Genomic DNA, 19,736 nt, shown 5'->3' with positions numbered 1-19,736 from the left:
AATCAGAGCCAAGCAAAAGGGGAAACCCCTTGTCAAACCATCAGCTCTTGTGGGACTTACTCACCACCACGAGAACAGTATGGGGGAAAACTGCCCCTATGATTCAGTTATCTCCACCAGGTCCCTCCCATAACACATCGGAATTAAGGGAGCTACAATTCACGACGAGATTTGGGTGAGGACACAGCCAAAGCATGTCAGCAGGGGACATTTCTGAGCACTTAATGCTGTCTAGGCCTTCCCTATGCGTGACACACTCACTCATGTGATCCTCAGAACTACCATCTGAGACAAATACTGTTAACCACCTCCGTGTGCAGTGGAGACACAGGAGATCAGGTCACTTGCCCAAGGTCAAGGTCACACAGCTAGTAAGTGGCAGAGGTGCAGTTTGAACCCATGTTGTCTGTCTTCAAAGGGTGGCATTTGGAAGCACTGGAAGAAGCCACTGCTGTGGCTGCCGCTGGCCACTGTGGGCCGGCAGGGTCCATGCAAGACCAGGGAGACTTGTTTGAGTTGTTTCTAGTAGAGGTGGGAGCCTGGTGAATGGAAGAAGTCCATTCCAAGCAATCAGGAGACTGCTACTCTGAGGAATAGTTTTTCACCTATCATCCCCAGAGAAAATGAGTGGAATTCCTCAACAAAATATGTAGCCCCAGAGATGCAGGGGTGGGACTTCAGGCAATAGACTAAAGCTGATCTAACTTGGAAGTGAAGTCAACCTAGACACTTTACAGGCTGGAATAGCTGAAGACATGGGGGCTTGAACCCACGCTCCAAAGCTGCACTTTTTCCCCCTTAGATTATGGCTGAACGGAAGAATGCCAAAGCGCTGGCCTGCAGCTCCTTACAGGAAAGGGCCAATGTGAACCTCGATGTCCCTTTGCAAGGTAAGTCAGTGGCACCTCATGTCTTCATTATGGCCCTGTCCCTCCTGGTCCAGGACTGAAGGCTCTCAGATGGTTCTCTGGTATTTCAAGTCTCCTTAAAGAGCACACTCAACTCAGTAAGCACAAGTTGAGCCTGCACGCTGGGTCTCACAGAGGCACAGAGTTGATTTTGCATCACTAGGGTTAGGCATAAAGCCAGGATGAGTTTTGTTGTTATTGGACAAGATTAAAGAATATTGTCTTTAGTTTTTGCCTTCGTTTTCATTTTGTTTTGTATTTTATGTTCTTTAAGAATACTGTCTTCATATTATAATTCATGTACAACCTGGGATAAGGACCCTGGCTGGTTTAAAAACACGTGGGTTGGGCTGGTCTGAAGGTAGTGAGTTACCTCAGTTGATGGTTCAGCCAGTTACAGATCGACCTCCTTGTGCTCCTCATTCTCCCCTTCCCACTACTATACTTGACTAATCTTAAAAAAAGAAAACATGGGCCAGGCGCGGTGGTTCACATCTATAATCCCAGCACTTTGGGAGGCTGAGGCGGGTGGATTGCCTGAGCTTAGGAGTTCAAGACCAGCCTGTGCAACATGGTGAAACCCTGTCTCTACTAAAATACAAAAAATTAGCCAGGTATGGCAGCATGCACCTGTAGAATTGCTAGAACCCAGGAGATGGAGGTTGCAGCGAGCCAAGATCGCACCACTGCACTCCAGCCTGGGCAACAGAGCGAGACTCTTGTCTCTAAAAAAAAAAAAACGTGGGTTGATTACTGGGGGAACTCAGTTATCTTCCTATGTCTCTGATTGTGCCCTTTGAGGTTACATTTTCTCTGGGCATCAACCACACCTAATTAAATAGGACACCAAAAGCTGCTACTTTACTTAATATACATCAAAGAGACAGTAGCAGCTTTAACACATAGATGCCACTTCCTGCTTTCACATGCATTCCTATCTTGAAAGTTGAACAGGATTTTAACAGAGCCCCAATATCTGGAGTAATGCTGCTCTTGTAGAATAGTTGTTACATTTACATCCAGAAACATAGGGCGTTATGGCACAGGGCGTGTCCTGAGCATTCAGATGATGCAGAGCCACGGCTGTTGTGTACATGTGTGTTGGAACCACTGAGAAAGATGTGTTGCTTTTGTTCCCTGTAGTAGATTTTCCAACACCAAAGACTGAGCTGGTCCAGAAGTTCCACGTGCAGTACTTGGGCATGTTACCTGTAGACAAACCAGTCGGTATGTGAAATGTTTATTGTCTTTCCACTTTGCAAGTGTGCGGGAGCTCACAGGAGGCGTTCGCCCTCCGAGGAGGGTGAGGTCTGCTGTTTACTCTCACGCCTTGTCTTGAATCAAACTGTCACACTGTCACCTGCCAGAGAACATAAACGGTCCTGATCAAAAGATGAGTAGAGGGACAGGCCCCGCTGCTTTGACCTGTCATCCCCAGCATGCAGGACTTTAGCAATACAGACGTGGATTTCTTGTTTACCCAGTAGTCCAGAGCTGTGTGACTCAGGGCCGTGGAAGAGCTCCGCTGCTCTGAAACGAGGCCTCCATCTCTGAGGCCAGGGCACCTGCTTCGTGTCTTGTCAGCTGGCGGGCCAGGAGAAAGGACTGTGGAGGCTTCATGCTGTCAAGGAGTGACACAGTAGTGGCACACACAGCATTCAGCTCACATGCCAGGGGCAGAGTGTAGTTGCTGGGCTATACCAAGCCAAAAAGAGACTGGGAGATGAAGCCTTCACCAGGGCTAAAAAAGGCTGTGGAGAAATCGCAAGCTACATATACTGCCAAGGGGGCTGTAAGATGGTGCAGCTGCTTTGGAAAACAGTCTGGCATTCTTCAGAAGGTGAAACATAGTTACTTTAGACCCAGCAACTCAGTTCCTAGGCGTAGACCCAAGAGAAGTGAAAACGTTTGTGCATGCAAAAACGTGTATGCAAATGTTCACAGCAGAATTATTGATGAGAGTCAAAAAGCGAAACAACCTGAATGTCCTGACAAATCAACTGACAATTAGATAAATAAGATGTGATACTTCCATACAGTGGAATTTTATTTGGCAATAAAAAGGAATGAAGGACTGAAGTGCGCTGTAGCGTGGATGAAGCCTGAAAACATGCTATGAGGGAAGTCAGTCCCAAAAGACTGCATACTGTGTGATTACGTTCATATGAAACGCCCAAAATAGGCAGAGCTCTAGCGTCAGAAAGTAGGTAAGGGTTGCCTTGGTCTAGGGGTCTGGGGAGTGGGGGAAAAATGCAGAATGACCCCTACCAGGCACGGGGTTTCTCTTTGGGGTGATGAAACTGTTCTAAAATTGATTATGGTAGGTCTAGCATGGTGGCTCACACCTGTAATCTCAGCACTTTGGGAAGCCAAGGCAGGTGGATTGCTTGAGCCCAGAAGTTCAAGACCAGCCCAGGCAACATGGCAAAACCTCATCTCTACAAAAAAAATTCAAAAAATTAGCTGGGCATGGTGGCATGTACCTGTAGTCCCAGCTACTCCAGAGGCCGAGGTGGGAGGATCATCTGAGCCTGGGAGGCTGAGGCTACAGTGAGCCGTGATTGTACCACTGCACTCCAGCCTGGGTGACAGAGCAACACCCTGTCTCAAAAAAAAATTGATGATGGTGATGGGTGCGCTCTGTGAATGTACTAAAATCCACTGGATTGCACACTTTACGTGAGTGAATTGCATGTGAATGATACCTCAATAAAGCTGTCACTCCCACCCCTATCCCCCAGAAAAACTGTGGAAACAGCTGGCAAAAGGGCCCTACTCAATGGGGGGATCCACTGTAAAGGTGCCATCAAGAGACAGTGAGGGTGGAGAGAGGCTGAAGGGCCATGGTCTGCATAGGTAGACAGCGTCTAAGGCACCAGGTCCCCGGAGCTTCTCCTGACTCTCCTCTCCTACTGAAAAGGCTGTTATTTCTTTTTTTTCTTTTTCTTTTTTTGTTTTTTGAGACAGAGTCTCACTGATACTTGCCCAGGCTGGAGTGCAGTGGTGCGATCTCAGCTCACTGCAGCCTCCGCCTCCTGGGTTCAAGCAAGCATGTCCAGCTAATTTTTGTATTTTTAGTAGAGACAGGGTTTCACCGTGTTGGCCAGGCTGGTCTCGAACTCCTGACCTCAAATGATCCTGGCTCAGCCTCCCAAAGTGCTGAGATTACAGGCGTGAGCCACTACGCCCGGCCAGAAGCTGGTATTTCATTCCTGTTGAGCAAACATGAGAATGAAGTGTCCTGTCTATTAAAAAAAGATCAGTCTGGGCGTAGCTGTTATTGGTGATTTGGGCCCACATTTGAGTGTGGTAAGTGGCTTTAGGACACTTTAAATTATCCTTTTCTGTCCCCAGGAATGGATATTTTGAACAGTGCCATAGAAAATCTTATGACCTCATCCAACAAGGAGGACTGGCTGTCAGTGAACATGAACGTGGCTGATGCCACTGTGACTGTCATCAGTGAAAAGGTGAGAAGGAATCTTCGATGACATTGGTGTGTCTTATACAGTGAGTATAAGATACAGTGGTTTTCTGTGGAACTTAGGAACATAGTCAAGGCCGGAGTTGTGCATCCTTGTGATTAAGATGGCCTACATTTGAAAGATTTGGCCCTTTGTCTGGGTCTAAATCTGTGCATACCTCTGTTTTCCTGTGGCCTGAGAAACTTCTCTTCTGGTGCTTCTGATTCTGTCTTCCTCATGTGCCCCAGAGAGAAATTGTTTGCTAGAGGTGAGTGTGTGACGCTAGTAGTCGCTCACTCTCAGGGCGCCAGTATTGCCTGGGCTGTGTGATCTGGGGATGAAAAGCAGAAGATGCTTCCATTTGGGAGAGTCCTGTGACTATCAGTAGCAGAAGGAGCTATTGGTTGTCTTGAGAAGAGGCCACATTAGCCTCAGCCCAAATTATCTCAGTTTCGTGGTTGAAGAAATTGAAGCACAGAGAGGCTAAGTCATTTGCCCAGCATCACACAGTTGGAAGCAATGGAATCAGGACTTAAATCCAGGCAACCTGGCCCAGACTTGTGCCCACTTTTCTATTCTGCCTCTGTGAAGCACCTGCCAGGGAAAGACCACCAGTCATCAGCCTGCCCCACAGCTGCCCGGTTCACCCTGGAGAGAGGAGCAGGGTGCTCACTGCCTGCCTCCAGCTGGCCACACTGAGCTCTCCTCACCTCTTCAAGTAGGTCCCGCCCTTCCCCACACCAGCATCATCGCAAGCACTGCACCCTCCATGCTCCACCCTCTGCCTACCCGACCCTTACCCAGATCACCACCACAGCCTCCTTCCTCCTGAGAAAACTTCCCGACCTCTCACACTAGTGTACTTTGCTCATTAAACACTCCCAAGGCACTAGAGTGAATATTTAATTAGTCAAGATGTTAATGATCCAAAAGTCAACATTTTGGATGTGTTTATTAATTCAAAACTTGCATATGGTTCTTGCAAAGGATGTGGTGTTCATCCCTATGAGAAAGAATTCTGAACATTTCTTTACGCTGCCTCATGTGGATCCCAGATGGACACCAGTTTGCAAGAGAGAAAAGAAAAAAACAATTTGACAACTTTTTGTTGATTTGGCAGCTTTTTGTTTTATATGGTTTTAGATGGAAATGTGATTCAGTGTGCTGTTTAGTTTGGGTAAGAATCACTGGACGAAGAAAGATACCGTGAATCCCTTTTTTCTGGTGCTCTGGGGGTTTACTTGGCCAAATGGGTTTTGGGCCACCAGGTGTCCTGTATTTGGGCTAGATGTAAGAAGTATGGACGGCACTGTCCCTCCCCACAGTGAACTCACAGCCACGTAGCATAATGGAGAATGGGACCCACATCACACCCCATGACAGCAGTGTAGTTCAGAGCAAGAATGACCTCCAGAACAGGGTAGCCATGCAGTGATGGCCTCTTCAGACATTTGGGCAAGGTTCCGCCTTTCGAGAAAAACACAGGTCCTTTCTGAATTCGGCCTGGCTATACTTTCTGAATGCCAGTTCCTATGTGCTGCCACTCTTAAGCTTGATCCTGGGATCTCCTGATTGGATGCCGCATAATGTCTCTTGCAGAATGAAGAGGAAGTCTTAGTGGAATGTCGTGTGCGATTCCTGTCCTTCATGGGTGTTGGGAAGGACGTCCACACATTTGCCTTCATCATGGACACGGGGAACCAGCGCTTTGAGTGCCACGTTTTCTGGTGCGAGCCTAATGCTGGTAACGTGTCTGAGGCGGTGCAGGCCGCCTGCATGGTGAGTTATCCCGGTACAGGCTGTTGAGCCCTCCCGCCTCTGCTCATCTCTAATATGCCATACATTATAGCAGAATCACTCACGGAAATGAAAAAAGTCGAATCCCTAAAGTAATGCTTTACTTTATAACGCCGTCATTCCTAGGGCCAGAATCAGTTATGATAAACAGATTACATCTCCAAAGGCCAGAACTCCTGAAAGAAGTGGGGCCAGATAGAGGCTCCGATGAGTTTCATAACCACCACCTTGACGACGGTCAATCCTTGATCCCAAATCAATTTCATGTGTGAAATGTTGGTCGTGTATGAGTTGGTACTGTTTGGGTTCAATTCAGTACTTTAAAAATCAATACATTGAATGACTTTTGTTTCCAGTGATTGGTTTCTGTACACCGTTCTTATATATTTTATTTATATCTGTTAACTCAGTCCTTCCGACAACTCTGTTAGGTAGTTGTTAGTTCTGTTTTATTTATGAGAAAATAGAGACTTTAGGGAAGTTAGAGAATGGGCCTCAGGGCTTGTCGGTAAGTGACAGAGCCGAGCCTGGATTCAGCCCCAAGCTGCCAGGTGACAAAGTCAGAGCTCTTTATACCACATGGATACTTGGAAACAAACAAGAATCCCTCATTATTCCTTCAGCATGTGTCTTTGTGCCCCTCTTATGCCAGACACTGCAAAAGTTCTAATAAAAATGAGGGAACTGGGCCGGGGGTGGTGGCTTACGCCTGTAATCCCAACACTCTGGGAGGCTGAGGCAGGCGGATCACTTGAGGTCAGAAGTTCAAGACCAGCCTGACCAAATGGAGAAGCCCTGTCTCTACTAAAAATACAAAATTAGCCAGCGTGGTGGCGCATCCCTGTAATCCCAGCTACTCGGGAGGCTGAGGCAGGAGAATCACTTGAACCTGAGAGGCAGAGGTTGCAGTGAACCGAGATCGCGTCATTGCACTCCAGCCTGGGCAACAAGAGGGAAACCCATCTCAAAAAAAAATGAGGGAGCTATATGAGTGTGGGCACCAAAGCCTGTGGGCAGGTGTGTTCCAGCAGCAGCAGGTTGGGTGCTGGGCCCGAGTGGAAGGAGGTGCGGTCCAGATCATGGCGGGCTTATGATGATGGCGTGTGGGGGCCTGATTTTCTTCAGCAAGGATTGCTAAACTGGGGATTGAATTGATTGTATTTAGATTATTTATTTATTTATTTATTGAGATGAAGTTTTGCTTTTGTTGCCCAGGCTGGAGTGCAATGGCGCGATCTCAGCTCACTGCAACCTTCGCCTCCTGGGTTTAAGTGATTCTCTTGCCTCAGCCTCCCAAATAGCTGGGATTACAGGCACCTGCCACCACGCCTGGCTAATTTTTTATATTTTTAGTAGAGATGGGGCTTCATCATGTTGGCCAGGCTGGTCTCAAACTCCTGACCTCAGGTAATCCACCCGCCTCAGCCTCCCAAGTGCTGGGATTACCGGCATGAGCCACCGCACCCAGCCTGTATTTAGATTTTAGACGAGTATCCAGCAAAAAAAGAAGACAACCAAGTAGAGGATAGGTTGGAGGAACAAGGCTGAGGTGGCGATCAGCCAGGAGCCCAGTTACCTTCTGCAGATGGGAGAGAGGAGGAGCGTCCACGCTAGGAGAGCAGCGTTGGGAACAAACAGGAGCAGAGGCTTTGAGAAGCACCGAGCTGCCTGGCTGGGGGAGAACTGCTGCATGTGAAGCCCCTGGGCTTCATTTAATTCAGCCTCGCACTTACGGGCTGGAATCTGGGGCATTCAGCATGACTGAGATACAGTCCTTGCATTGTAGAGCTCAGGTATAGTGGGGGAGACACAGAAACCTAAACTCTGTTACAGTGTAGAAAGTGCTGTAAATAAAAGTATGAGGATCTTCACTTTCAGCCGGGCGTGGTGGCACATGCCTGTAGTCCCAGCTTCTGAGGAGGCTAAGGTGGGAGGATGGCTCAAACCCAGGAGGTCGAGGTGCAGTGAGCTACGATGGCACCACTGTAGTCCAGCCTGGGTGACAGAGCGAGACCCTGTCTCAAAAAAATAAATAAGAAAAATAAGTATGAGACTGTGCTGGATTGAGAAGTAACTGGGAAGAAAAAGAAGTGGAGGCCCTAAAAGCAGATAACTTACAAAGTTTGCCAGTGAGGGGGAGCTTGAAGGGCAGCATTGGAGGGTTTGTTCATGTGTTTATTTCAGGACAGGAGAGGCCTGCCCCTTTTTTATTCTTTATTTTTATTTTATTTTATTTTTTTTAAGAGATGGGATCTTGCTATATTCCCCAGGTTGGTCTTGAACTCCTCCCTGGAACGGCAGGGGAGCACCACCATGCCCAGCTAGGTTTTCTTTTGTGGAAAATGGAGGTAGATAAAGAGTGGAGGAGGCTGGGCACAGTAGCTCACGCCTGTAATCCCAATACTTTGGGAGGCTGAGGCGGGCGGATCACTTGAGGTCAGGAGGTTGAGACCAGCCTGGCCAACATGGTGAAACCCATCTCTACCAAAAAATACAAAAATTAGCCGAGCGTGGTGGCATGTACCTGTAGTCCCAGCTACTCAGGGAGGCTGAGGTGGGAGGATGGCTTGAACTTGGGGGTGGAGGTTGCAGTGAGCTGAGATTGCACCACTGCACTTCAGCCTGTGTGAAAGAGTGAGACCCTGTCTCAAAAAAAAAAAAAAGAAAAAAAAAAAAGAGAGCCAAGGGGAGGGACTTAGCCTACGAATTAGTTAGAGAGACCTTTTACTTTGACATAGTCCAGAAGATGCTAAGAACCAAGAATGGGTGGAGCTTGGGGAAGGAAAGGGAGTTCTCTGACCGCCGCCCCCCCACCCCATACAGCACATTGTGAGGTTATGAATGAAGGGAAAGTTTGCACCTGTAGTCCCAGCTACTCAGGAGGCTGAGATGAGAGGACCCCTTGAGCCCAGGAGTTCAAGTCCAGCCTGGGCAACATAGAAAGGCCCTATGTCTAATAAAAATGTTAAAAGGATGAGGTGGGAGAGCAGATTGCAAAGGTGGGGCGTAGAAAAGAGGCATTTGACCTTTATCATTTGAAATAGAGCAGGAAGGAGGGAGAAGGGGAGGCCTGGCGTTGAACACTTGTTATCTGGTGTCACACTTACACCATCCTCTGTGAGAGTGGCTAACTCCCTGCAAGAACTGTAGGGCCAGGATTCTAACTCAGACACCCTGAATATGCAGGAGCAGGGCTGGGGTTCAGGGGAGCAGGGACAGTAGAGGAGTCAGGTGAACCCACTGACCAGGTACAGGGAGTTGATGAGATAAAGGAGATCTGTGAAGAAAATAGAAAATGGGAGATTTCAGCCAAGCGAAAATGGATGACAACTATTTTGGTATTTTATGAAATTGAAACAGATCATAGCAGATGGTTTTAGTCATAAAATGAATGGCTTTCCGACTTAATTATACGTTTAAGTGATAACGACAATGAGTTTTATCTCTTTGGCTACAGTTGGTTTTCTGATTCTCAATTCATTTTCCCTCTTGGAAACAACTTTTACTCATTTGCTTCCTATTTTAATTGTATCACTGCAACGAGTGGACACAGCTCAGCCAATCTAGTATAAGGCATACTAGTAAAATCAAACCATTCTTCTCTCCTGCCCGCTCTGAATCCAGTGTTTCTAGCTCAGGGGCTTTCTTCTTAGTTCAAATCCGCATGATTCTCCTCTGAATGGTCCGTATGTGAATTTATACCATGTGAATATCTATTGACACTAACGTTCTTTTGAATCTGCTTAATTTTTAGGCATATTTTACAGCTGTGTGGTATAGGCCCAACAGAAGACATTTTGGCAAAATTTAGAATAGAACAGAGAGGGACCCTTTATGAATTCCAACACTTAGGTGTGGTTTTGATTCACACTGGATGTACGTGACTACTATTTGAAATTCCAAGTCCAGAGTCCCATGTTGCCATGTATAAATCCGTGCTTTCGATGTGTGTGGTTTGGGTTGTGATGTGGGCCTAGTAAAATACCTTACACAGAGGAGACGTGTAATCAATCATCATATTTCATATGATTGATTTGAAAGGGGTTGTTTTGTGGCCTAAGGGGTATGATAGAACACTGTACCATATCCTTCCCCCAGGGTCTTGCTTTTTACAGGGACATCAGCCTATTCCATTACTAAAGAGCCTGTTAATATTTAAGTTGATTTTTTTTAAAAAAGCCATGGAGTGACAGTCCTTCCTTGGTATACGTGGGGCGGGGTGGAGGTGTTCTAGGACCTCTGAGTATACCAAAATCCTACATATTCAGGTCCTGCAGAACCCACGCATAGGAGAAGTCTGCCCTCTGAGTAATTGGGTTTTGCATACCAGGAATACTATTTTCAATCTGTGTTTGGTTGAAAAAAAATCCTCATATAAGTGGACCTGCACAGTTCAAACTCTGTTGTTCAAAGATCAGCTGTATTTTTTTTTCATTATTTATTTTGAGACAGGGTTCACTCCGTCGCCCAGGCTGGAGTGCAGTGGCCATGCTCACAGCTCACTGCAGCCTTGACCTCCCAGTCTGAAGCAATCCTCCCGCCTCAGCCTCCCAAGTAGCTGGAACCACAGGCATGTGCCACCACACCTGGCTAATTTTTGTATTTTTTGTAGAGACACGGTTTCACCATGTTGCCCAGGCCGGTTTCAAACTCCTGGGCTCAAGTGATCCGCCTCCCTCAGCCTCCCAAAGTGCTAGGATTACAGGAGTGAAACACCATGACTGGCCAGGTCAACTGTATTTTAAAACGTTTGGATTAGAAAAAAAAAAATTTGATAAATTTTAACTTTTTATCTAATCTTAAAGAATTAGTTATCTTCCCATTATGCAAAACCAGGTGGACTACATTGTTATATTTCTGAAGAACAGGAATTATCCCTGGTGCCAGTGCTAATGGATTTTTAAAAATTAATCCATAAAGATTTAGACTTGTATGTACCATGTATCTTGAAATCTTAATACCTCATCTTTTTAATTAAAACAGGAAATAGGGAAGGAAACAAACATTTCTGAATGCCTTCTGTGTTGCTAGGCCTATTTCAGGCATTCCACAAGCATTACAAGTATTACTTACTTAATCATAACACCCTCTGTAAATAGTCCTTTCTTCAGCCATTTTACAGTTGAAGAAACTGAGGCTCAGAGAGATTTAATAATTCGTCTGGGGTTCACAAGTGATAGACCTTAAACTATGCCCTTTCTACTGTGCTGTCAGTGTACCATGAGCACCTGCCTAGATTTGCATGTCTCTGATGAAAAATGTAATTAACACACTCTCTCCCAATCCTTTCTGGTTTCATTAGCTCATTGACTGTGAGGTGTATTCGTTGCGGACTATCAATATAGAGGACACGTGGAGGGTGGAAATGGATGGAAGGAAAGGGTGGCAAAAGCCAAAACCCCTTTGTTGAGCCTAATCTTTTAGGAGAATTTAAAGCACTCACATTCAGAGAAAAATAACTCTTGGATTTATGTTTAGGAACTAGGTCGTTAACCTTTGGGAGTCAATGTATTATGGGTCATGACTTAAAGTCATATTAAAGATGAAATAATATGTTGTTAATTACCTTAAAACACGTTTTGTTTTATTTCAGTTACGATATCAGAAGTGCTTGGTAGCCAGGCCGCCTTCTCAGAAAGTTCGACCACCTCCACCGCCAGCAGATTCAGTAACCAGAAGAGTCACAACCAATGTAAAACGAGGGGTCTTATCCCTCATTGACACTTTGAAACAGAAACGCCCTGTCACCGAAATGCCATAGCTGCACATGCAAAAGGACTCGGCTATTTACCTGAAGATTGACTAGCTACACTAAAGAAAATGAACTCCGCCATCCGACCTTCCATCCAGTTGCTGATGCTTTGTCTTCAGAGAATTTACCCTTAACCAAGCAGTGTTAGACAAGCATGTTCTCTCGTCTTGCCACCATCATGTGATATGAAAAGAAGCATGAATAATTTTTTTTGCTGTAAGTTACATCATGCGCAGTGGAAGGTCTTTTTCTTATTGTAAATATTGTGAACATTACTTAACTTCACACACACACAGAGAAGAGTGTGGCCCCACCCCTCCTAGTGAACTAACGCTGCGTCCTTGGAATGAATGATGCGTGAGTTAGTTTCACTGTCTTCTTGGCTGGACCTGTCACAAGCAACCTTTAAGTCCTACAGCACTTTGCCCTGTTTTCAACATTGGAGTAGGCACTGCATAGCAGATACCATTGAATTGCTGTAAAAATAGGATGGCGAGTTTGTGTTTTAATTTTTCATAAAATTGAACCTGTTGGTTGACAAAATTGGCTGTTGGCATCAGTATAGAAACCAACTGGCAGCTTTCCCTGACAAGCTCTTTGACACATGGACACCATTTCATGTCTACAGCTGTTTGTGGGATGTTGGAAAAAAATGAAACTTCAAAATTGATGAAAAACTAAATTCGAGGAATTAAAATCGAACAAAACATAGCCTTTCTTTTCCGATGGTTTTCAAACTGATTATTTTTAAAAGAGATTAATAAAATCATAATGCATTTTGGGTGGGACATATTTCAAACTTCTGCCTTATATTGTACGGTGCAGCTAGAGAATTATAGTTCACTATGGCCATTCTCTACATAAACATTAAGATGAAATACTCCTCATCAGCCTTTCATCCTTAGTTTGAGAATTAGCTGATATGCAATTTGAAGTTGAGGAAATATCATTGATATTTCTATCATGCACGATTATTTTAGATTTCTACCACCGTGTGATTTTTGCTAGTCCATGTGCTAGAGGTAAACGTTCTGCTGGAATTCTGCATCCAGCTCTATCCCCCTCTGATGCTTTTTGCCCAGAAAGCTGTCTGTCCATCATGTATTGTCCATGGCAACAAATTACATTAGGTTGAACCTTTCCTTGATTTTATGTATTTAATATTAGAATTTGTTGGACTCAACTAGATATATTTTTTAATTTATATTTTTTCCATTTTACTTTGAAGATTTGAAATGTTCATACCTGAGCAAAGTCTACACAGGAGTAATGGACTGTTTAACAAGTTTCCCAAAACAGCATTTTCCTGCTCCTTCGTATGTAGGTGAGAAACTTAGCTGGAAAGACATACAAATTTAGACTCTCGTTGACATTGTCGTTTTAAAAGGAAGTTGCTAAGGCGATCAATCTCAATATTAGTCTTGTTTACTTCTTCTTAATGTCAAAATTAACATTTACAACATCCAATTATAAAAGTAATGCTTTATGTTTATACACTGCTATGTACTTGTCAAAATGGTTTCCACATTCTTATCACATCTGAGCCTTACCAGGTAGAGAAGGTACTAAATACACTTTAGAAGTAAAAATATGAAGTACCGAGAGGCTAAACCCACTGGCCTAAGATCTCACCAAAGTTCATGAAAACCAGGACTAGGACCCACGGCTCCCAAAGCCCGTTCTTGCTGTGTTGTGCTGCCTCCATATCCGTCAGGAAGAGCCTTTCCAGAATGATTCTGGGCATATACTAAGAAGAGCAGGTATGGAAAGATCTATTGTCAGGGAATCTTAGAATTCCCTACACGAGTGGGAGAAAGATGTCCAAATTCCTTACGCAGTGGTATTCATGATGGTGCCCTATCTAAGTCCAGGACTGTTTTCCTACAGCGTGCCTCAAAAGTGTTGTAGAGGGCAGGATTCTACATTCACAGCCTGTTCCATCTACGAGATTTTCCAGATGCTACTTGTGGTAGACATTCCTAACTCATGGTACTTAGCCACCAGAGATCATGATGGAATGAGTGGGTGGCTTTTCTACCTGCCATTCCCTCAGAATTCATGAGGGGTGGGGGACAGGGGGACCGGAATTGTCTTAGCACCCCAATGTTATGACAAAACTATGCTACTTTAGAAACGCAGTCTGTTTTTCACCAATTGACATACTACTGATCTGAAGTAACCAGTGCCATCATAAGAAATTACTGCATTAAGAAAATCCTTGCTGTGCCCTTTGAAAAGCTGTTCAGAAATCATTTACAGTGATCTTTCATCTCGGTCGCTGTAGTGAAACATTTTAGTGTGATAAATTTCAAAATTCTAAACAAATTACCCACTTTTATATTGGAAATCTCTACCAGAACTCCCTCTTCATTTTTTAAGGCATACATTTGCTTGTTTTCAAGATCAAGAATTCTGAGCTAGCTTTAAGTAGCAAACTGATTTATATGTGCAATTATAGGATGCATTAAGATGAATGATAGCCTTTACATATTGAAAACTTTGCAGACGTTTTGTTTTGAAAATGGCATTGTATAGTAAATGCAAATTAATTTTGTAAAATTATGTTAAAGAGTATGTTCAGACACTTTCTGCCATGGCCAAAAAGTATGTATGAAAGTATGTGTGTATTTGTTTGTAAAAGGATGCCAATGTTTTACCTGATATCTTAGTGACACTTCAGTTATCTATGCATTCTTTAGATCTGTGATTCGGTAAACAGGCAGCCATGTTCACGATGCCTTCTATGTCTTACCATATTTTTAATTAACCTGTTAAATACAGCTTAAAATATTTTTATTTTATTTATTCTATTTTTACTGAAATATACTGCATTATTGTGTTAATGTATTATCTTTCCTGGATATTATCTCCCAGTGTATCCAGATCTAAGTAATCTCAGTGAACTATACATTGCCTAAAAAGTGGTTTTGTAATGATTTGTAGTCACATTTCTATTGGGATATGTAGAAGAAAAGGCAAAATGCTTAAAGTTCCTTTTATTTTTTAAAAGCAGCTAGATAGACACAGACTTGCCACCTCATACATCTGCTCCTTGGCAACATCAAGGGGAACGACTAGCCAACATGCCTATGGCTAAAAACTTTCCTTTGCAGACTAAAGCACTGCTTGGTGCTTCGTTTTTCTACCCTTCACAACATGTGTGATTTCATCTAAGAGATATATACATGTACACATGCCCTTTGTTTCCACCTGGATACAAGATCACTCATAGCTAATTAGGACCATTGTTTTTTGTTCATCTGTCTTGTTGCATGAAGGGACATTAGACCCATTTCCATTAAAATAAGTTCTTGGTGATAAACTGTGGCACTGCTACTTCTTTTTAAATCCACTTTATGATTTCAAGATGGACACTTGTAAGATGACTCGACACAAGGCCATTGCCTGGAAGCCCCAGAGCTTTCCTCTGTTTGTATGGCCCGTTCATGTCCCAGGCATTGCAACACAAACTCCTCAAGATTTCACCACAACATGACAAGCATTTTCCTAACTGATATTAGCACAATTTAACTAATAAGCCCCTTCGCTCTCTAGTTGGCCAGGCTTAACCTAATACACATCTAACGTGTGTGCCACACGGCCAGTAGAAAGTTTAACTTCAGCTTCAGGGCAAAGATACCCACTCACACCGTGTCAACGCAAGCAGTAGTTCCTGGCCTCCAGAGCAGCTTACTTCCCCTGAAAGAACGCTTTGTTTTCCTTTATGCCCTTTTCCTGTTGACCACTTTTACACATTTAAATGTAATTTGTTGTGAGAATAAATTTAGCTGCATAAAACGTTCGGCTCATTTATCTGACATCTTAGTCACATATACAAGGAATAGAAATAGAAACTCGGTGTCTCTAGTTATTTTTAAATTATTCTTACCTCAGACTTCTTAGAAATCACTTTAGTAATGGAGCATTTTGCTTTGATTAGTTACTACATATTTCTGCCTGGTAAGAACTAGGAAGTAACTTCAAATTTTGAGTAATCACCCTGTACTTATTTGGTGATCAGGAAGGCCAGCTGGCCTTCCGGACATAGAAGCCTATTTAGTCACCAACTCGAGTCTTTTGTAAGCGGTCTTGCTAGGATTGTGATATTTTAGCACGAAGAAGTTTATCACTTCCTTTAAGAACCTGACATCAAAGAATAAAGAATAGAGGTGTACACACACTAAATCCAAAATGAAAGGTAACTAGAGAAATCAGTTGAATCTGGTTTAGCTTAACTGTTAGGCGCAGGAAGGCAGATAAACAGAATTTAAAGTATGTCCCCGCTTTTTGTTCATCTTGCACTTCCACAGTGGTTTCTCTCTAGTCAGTAACAAAATTTCATTATGGTTTCAGGCATTATATGGTGGTAAATAATTTCAGATTAAAAATGTGTTTGCTATTGGAGTATCTGAATACTAGTAATTTCATTATTTAGAATTTTGCAGCACTTTTATCTCAAGAAGAAGTCCAAGAATGTAAAATGCCAAATGAAACATGTCAGTGGAATCAATATTCTCCTTCATTAGAATTCCCTCATATTGCTTTTTTTTTTTTTCTTCAGACAGAGGAGTCTTACTCTGGAGTGCAGTGGTGTAATTTCAGCTCACCACAACCTCCACCTCCCAAGTTCAAGCAATTCTCGCCTCAGCCTCCTGAGTAGCTGGGATTACAGGCATGCACCGCCACGCCTGGCCAATTTGTATATTTTTAGTAGAGACAGGGTTTCGCCACGTTGGCCAGGCTGGTCTCGAACTCCTGACCTCAGGTGATCCGCCCGCCCCAACCTCCCAAAGTATGTGAGCCACCACGTCCGGCCTCATATTGCTTTTATCCAAAATTCTTTTCCCTTTTCACTCTACCAAAGTATTTAAATAATCCTGTCCTTCATAGAAGATTCTCAAAGAAGAAAACTGCAGTGTAATTAATGAATGGTTTAATTCAGAATCTTCATATACTTCTAAAGAGAAAAATAATTTAGTGCCAAATGCATGTTAGGAGATAATCAATGTAAGTGGCAACAAATTGTGACTTCACATGCTACTGTAGAGATCAGAAAATTATCCTAAACTATTCCATAACAATGAGACAACATCACAGAAAATACACTTGAAAATAAAAATCTCAAGACCAGCTACTTCTGGACAATGGAATACTTTTCAGTCTGGTATGGTGGAGGGCCCGAAAAGGATAAGGGATTCTTATGATACACAATGGGATTCTTTACTGAACAATATGTTAAATTAAGCTGCACCGCCTTCCTTGAGGCATGGACTACCCTAACCAACCAGATAGAAATCTGGGTGGGATAAGAGGATGAGCCACACGCTATAATTTTAGGGCAAGGAGATAGTGTTTGATTTTCAAAATCAGCAAAATAAGCTGAGCACTTTATATCTTTCTGTACAAGAGTGATAACATGAAGAATTCTTCTTCAGGGATTTAAAATACAATAAGCCTGGTTCAACTATAAAAAGTCTTGTTTCCTTTCTTCATTGACACTTTTTTTTTTTTTTTTTTTTTTTTGAGGCAAGGTCTCACTCTGCTTCCCAGGCTGGAGTGCAGTGGGGCAATATTGGCTCACTGCAACCTGCACCTCCTGGACTCAAGAGATCCTCGTACCTCAGCCTCCTAAGTAGCTGGGACTACAGGCGTGTCCCACCACACCCAGCTAATTTTTGTATTTTTTGTAGAGATGGGGTTTTGGGGTTTCGCCATGTTGTCCAGGCTCGTCTGGAACTCCGGTGCTCAAGTGGCGTGCCCACCTCAGCCTCCCAAACTGCTGAGATTACAGATGTGAGCCACTGCACCCAGCCCACTGACACGTTTTACTGATAAATGTAAATCTAAGCTAAAATAAAAATAATGTATTACCGCTATAATACAATTCACCATTCTCTTTTCTCACTTCAAGTAAGAAAGTAAAAATAGAATATCAGAGCTGAAGTAGACCTAAGTATTCATCTTGAAGAAGATAATATTCTAAAAATCATGCCACCTGAATTGAGCATTTAGGAATTTATGTAACATTTCTATACAACTGAATTGCAAAAATAAAACTTTAAATTCAAACTTTATGAATATGTCTATGAATGTTTTTAAATAATAAGATATATAGTTGTATCTTAATTCTATTTAATGACAATTTCTGTTGCCATGATGAAAAATCAGTAGACCCAGAAATGATAATCATACCAATTTTTGGTAGGCAATTGAGAATACATTCAAGATGAATCGACATTTAATATAATTAATTAACATAGTGCTACAATATATTTAATTGTGCCTCAGAAATGATTTACCAAAGTTTGATTCCTGTGTGCTATTTGAAATGACTTGTAGATTTTGTTGTATCCCCTGATCTTAGAATCAGAAATTTGTGGGTTTCTTCAACAATAGGTATCGCTTGCATTCAACAGTTTTGCCTCTTCTTCAGAATTATTAATATTTAGATGGAAATTTGCTCACAGTCTTTTGTAACAGTGCTTGACATAGAGGAAGGGAGAGATGATTGTGTCCAGTCTGCTCAGGATCCTGGAAGCTCCCCCAGTGAGAGACACCTCACTGTAAAAGGAACTCTGAGCTACACACACCTGGCACTTGGGAACTTCCTGCGCTTCCTACTTAAACTCAACTTCAGTCACGTTACAAAAACTCATGTTCATTCCCTGTTCAAAGAACAGCTTGATATTTAAGAAAAAATCACCCTTGATCGTGACTGAGAAAGTCACGACTACAACCGCATGGATGCTGAAGAGCGGTCAGCTGGCGGGAGAGGCCAGGATCGTTTGCCTGTTTGGCTTTCTAATGAGCTACCTGCTGAAGGGAGGCAGTGTTTCCTTCCCTGCAGGGGAAACTTGGCAGCTTTAAGTCCAGCCTGAAAGTTCACAGGAGTGAGATAAGTTCTGACCGCTGATACTGAGTCTCTAACTGGATCCTCTCAGAGCAGCAGTGATTGGCTGAAGTCTCTGAATTCTGCTTTGCTGACTCCTACATTATTGTTTCTCACTTGTCTGAATTCTCTGAAAGTAATATCACACTTAGAAGATCCCTAGGTGACCAAAAGAATGAATATCTTGTGTAGAGATGTAGAATCTTCAGAGAAATACTAGACTTTGAAAAAAAATCAACTGCTCTTTGGCCCCTATAAAAAACACAAGACAATCAAAGCCATCGCCGAGGAGGCCTGAGTAGGGAGGAAGGTGTGTCATCTTTAGGCTTTTCCTCTTTTCTGGATAGTGAGTGTGTGGGAAGGCAGGTGGGCACAAGTGCCTTGGGTGCAACCCAACGACAGTACAAATGTTGAGTTGGCATCCGAGATCTGATCCCTTGGGGACTTGAAAATGGCATAAAGACTGGAGGCAGAACAATCTTGATGGGTTTCAGAGCAACCATTCTGTCTTCTGGCCGAGGTCTTAAGAAGTGTGTCTGCCGTTCACGCGGTCTGGAGGGACAAGTGTTCTTCACAAATGCAGGCACTGCAGGATGGGGGGCCAGCTTGTTGGGTTTTCTGGTCTGTGAGGAAGCCCCCACTTGAGCAGTATTTTTCTGGGGAAGAGGTGGTTTTGTTACAGTCTCTGATAGATTAGCACTGGCTTTAGTTTCTCGATTCAGGAACTCAGCAATTTTCATTTGGATGCCATTATCAGTAGTGGCACCTTTTGTCAATGATGTTTTTGATTTTTTCTTCTTCTTCTCCCGTTTTGATGATTTACCCAACTCAATCCCATCCAGCAGACCCTTGGCTGCAGCTCGGGCCAAAACATCATTCACAGACACTGTCTCAGAAGGGTCCCGCTGCAATTAAAGAAGCATTTA

General features: G+C 43.4%; 2 protein-coding genes across 64 annotated transcripts in view; one reads left to right on the top strand and one right to left on the bottom strand.

The window, feature by feature from the left end:
* The window catches only part of APBB2 (amyloid beta precursor protein binding family B member 2), a 404,516-nt gene extending 386,521 nt beyond the window's left edge, over positions 1-17,995 (top strand). For 54 of the 55 annotated variants that reach the window (XM_047450191.1, XM_047450181.1, XM_047450169.1 and 51 more), the window contains 5 exons: positions 803-890; positions 2,052-2,135; positions 4,263-4,378; positions 5,972-6,151; positions 11,763-17,995. In XM_047450191.1, the coding sequence (XP_047306147.1) occupies positions 803-890; positions 2,052-2,135; positions 4,263-4,378; positions 5,972-6,151; positions 11,763-11,930 (636 nt within the window). In that variant the 3' untranslated portion in view covers positions 11,931-17,995. The remainder of the gene's footprint in view (positions 1-802; positions 891-2,051; positions 2,136-4,262; positions 4,379-5,971; positions 6,152-11,762) is intronic. The other variant, NM_173075.5, reaches the window with a different exon arrangement.
* Positions 16,838-19,736, bottom strand: part of NSUN7 (NOP2/Sun RNA methyltransferase family member 7) — a 61,230-nt gene continuing 58,331 nt past the window's right edge. For all 9 annotated transcript variants that reach the window (NM_024677.6, NM_001330648.3, XM_017008611.3 and 6 more), the window contains one exon: positions 16,838-19,715. In NM_024677.6, the coding sequence (NP_078953.4) occupies positions 19,083-19,715 (633 nt within the window). In that variant the 3' untranslated portion in view covers positions 16,838-19,082. The remainder of the gene's footprint in view (positions 19,716-19,736) is intronic.

The sequence above is a fragment of the Homo sapiens genome, chromosome 4, assembly GCF_000001405.40.
Source record: "Homo sapiens chromosome 4, GRCh38.p14 Primary Assembly".
Lineage (NCBI taxonomy): Eukaryota > Metazoa > Chordata > Mammalia > Primates > Hominidae > Homo > Homo sapiens.
This window is presented reverse-complemented; position numbering and strand designations above follow the sequence as displayed.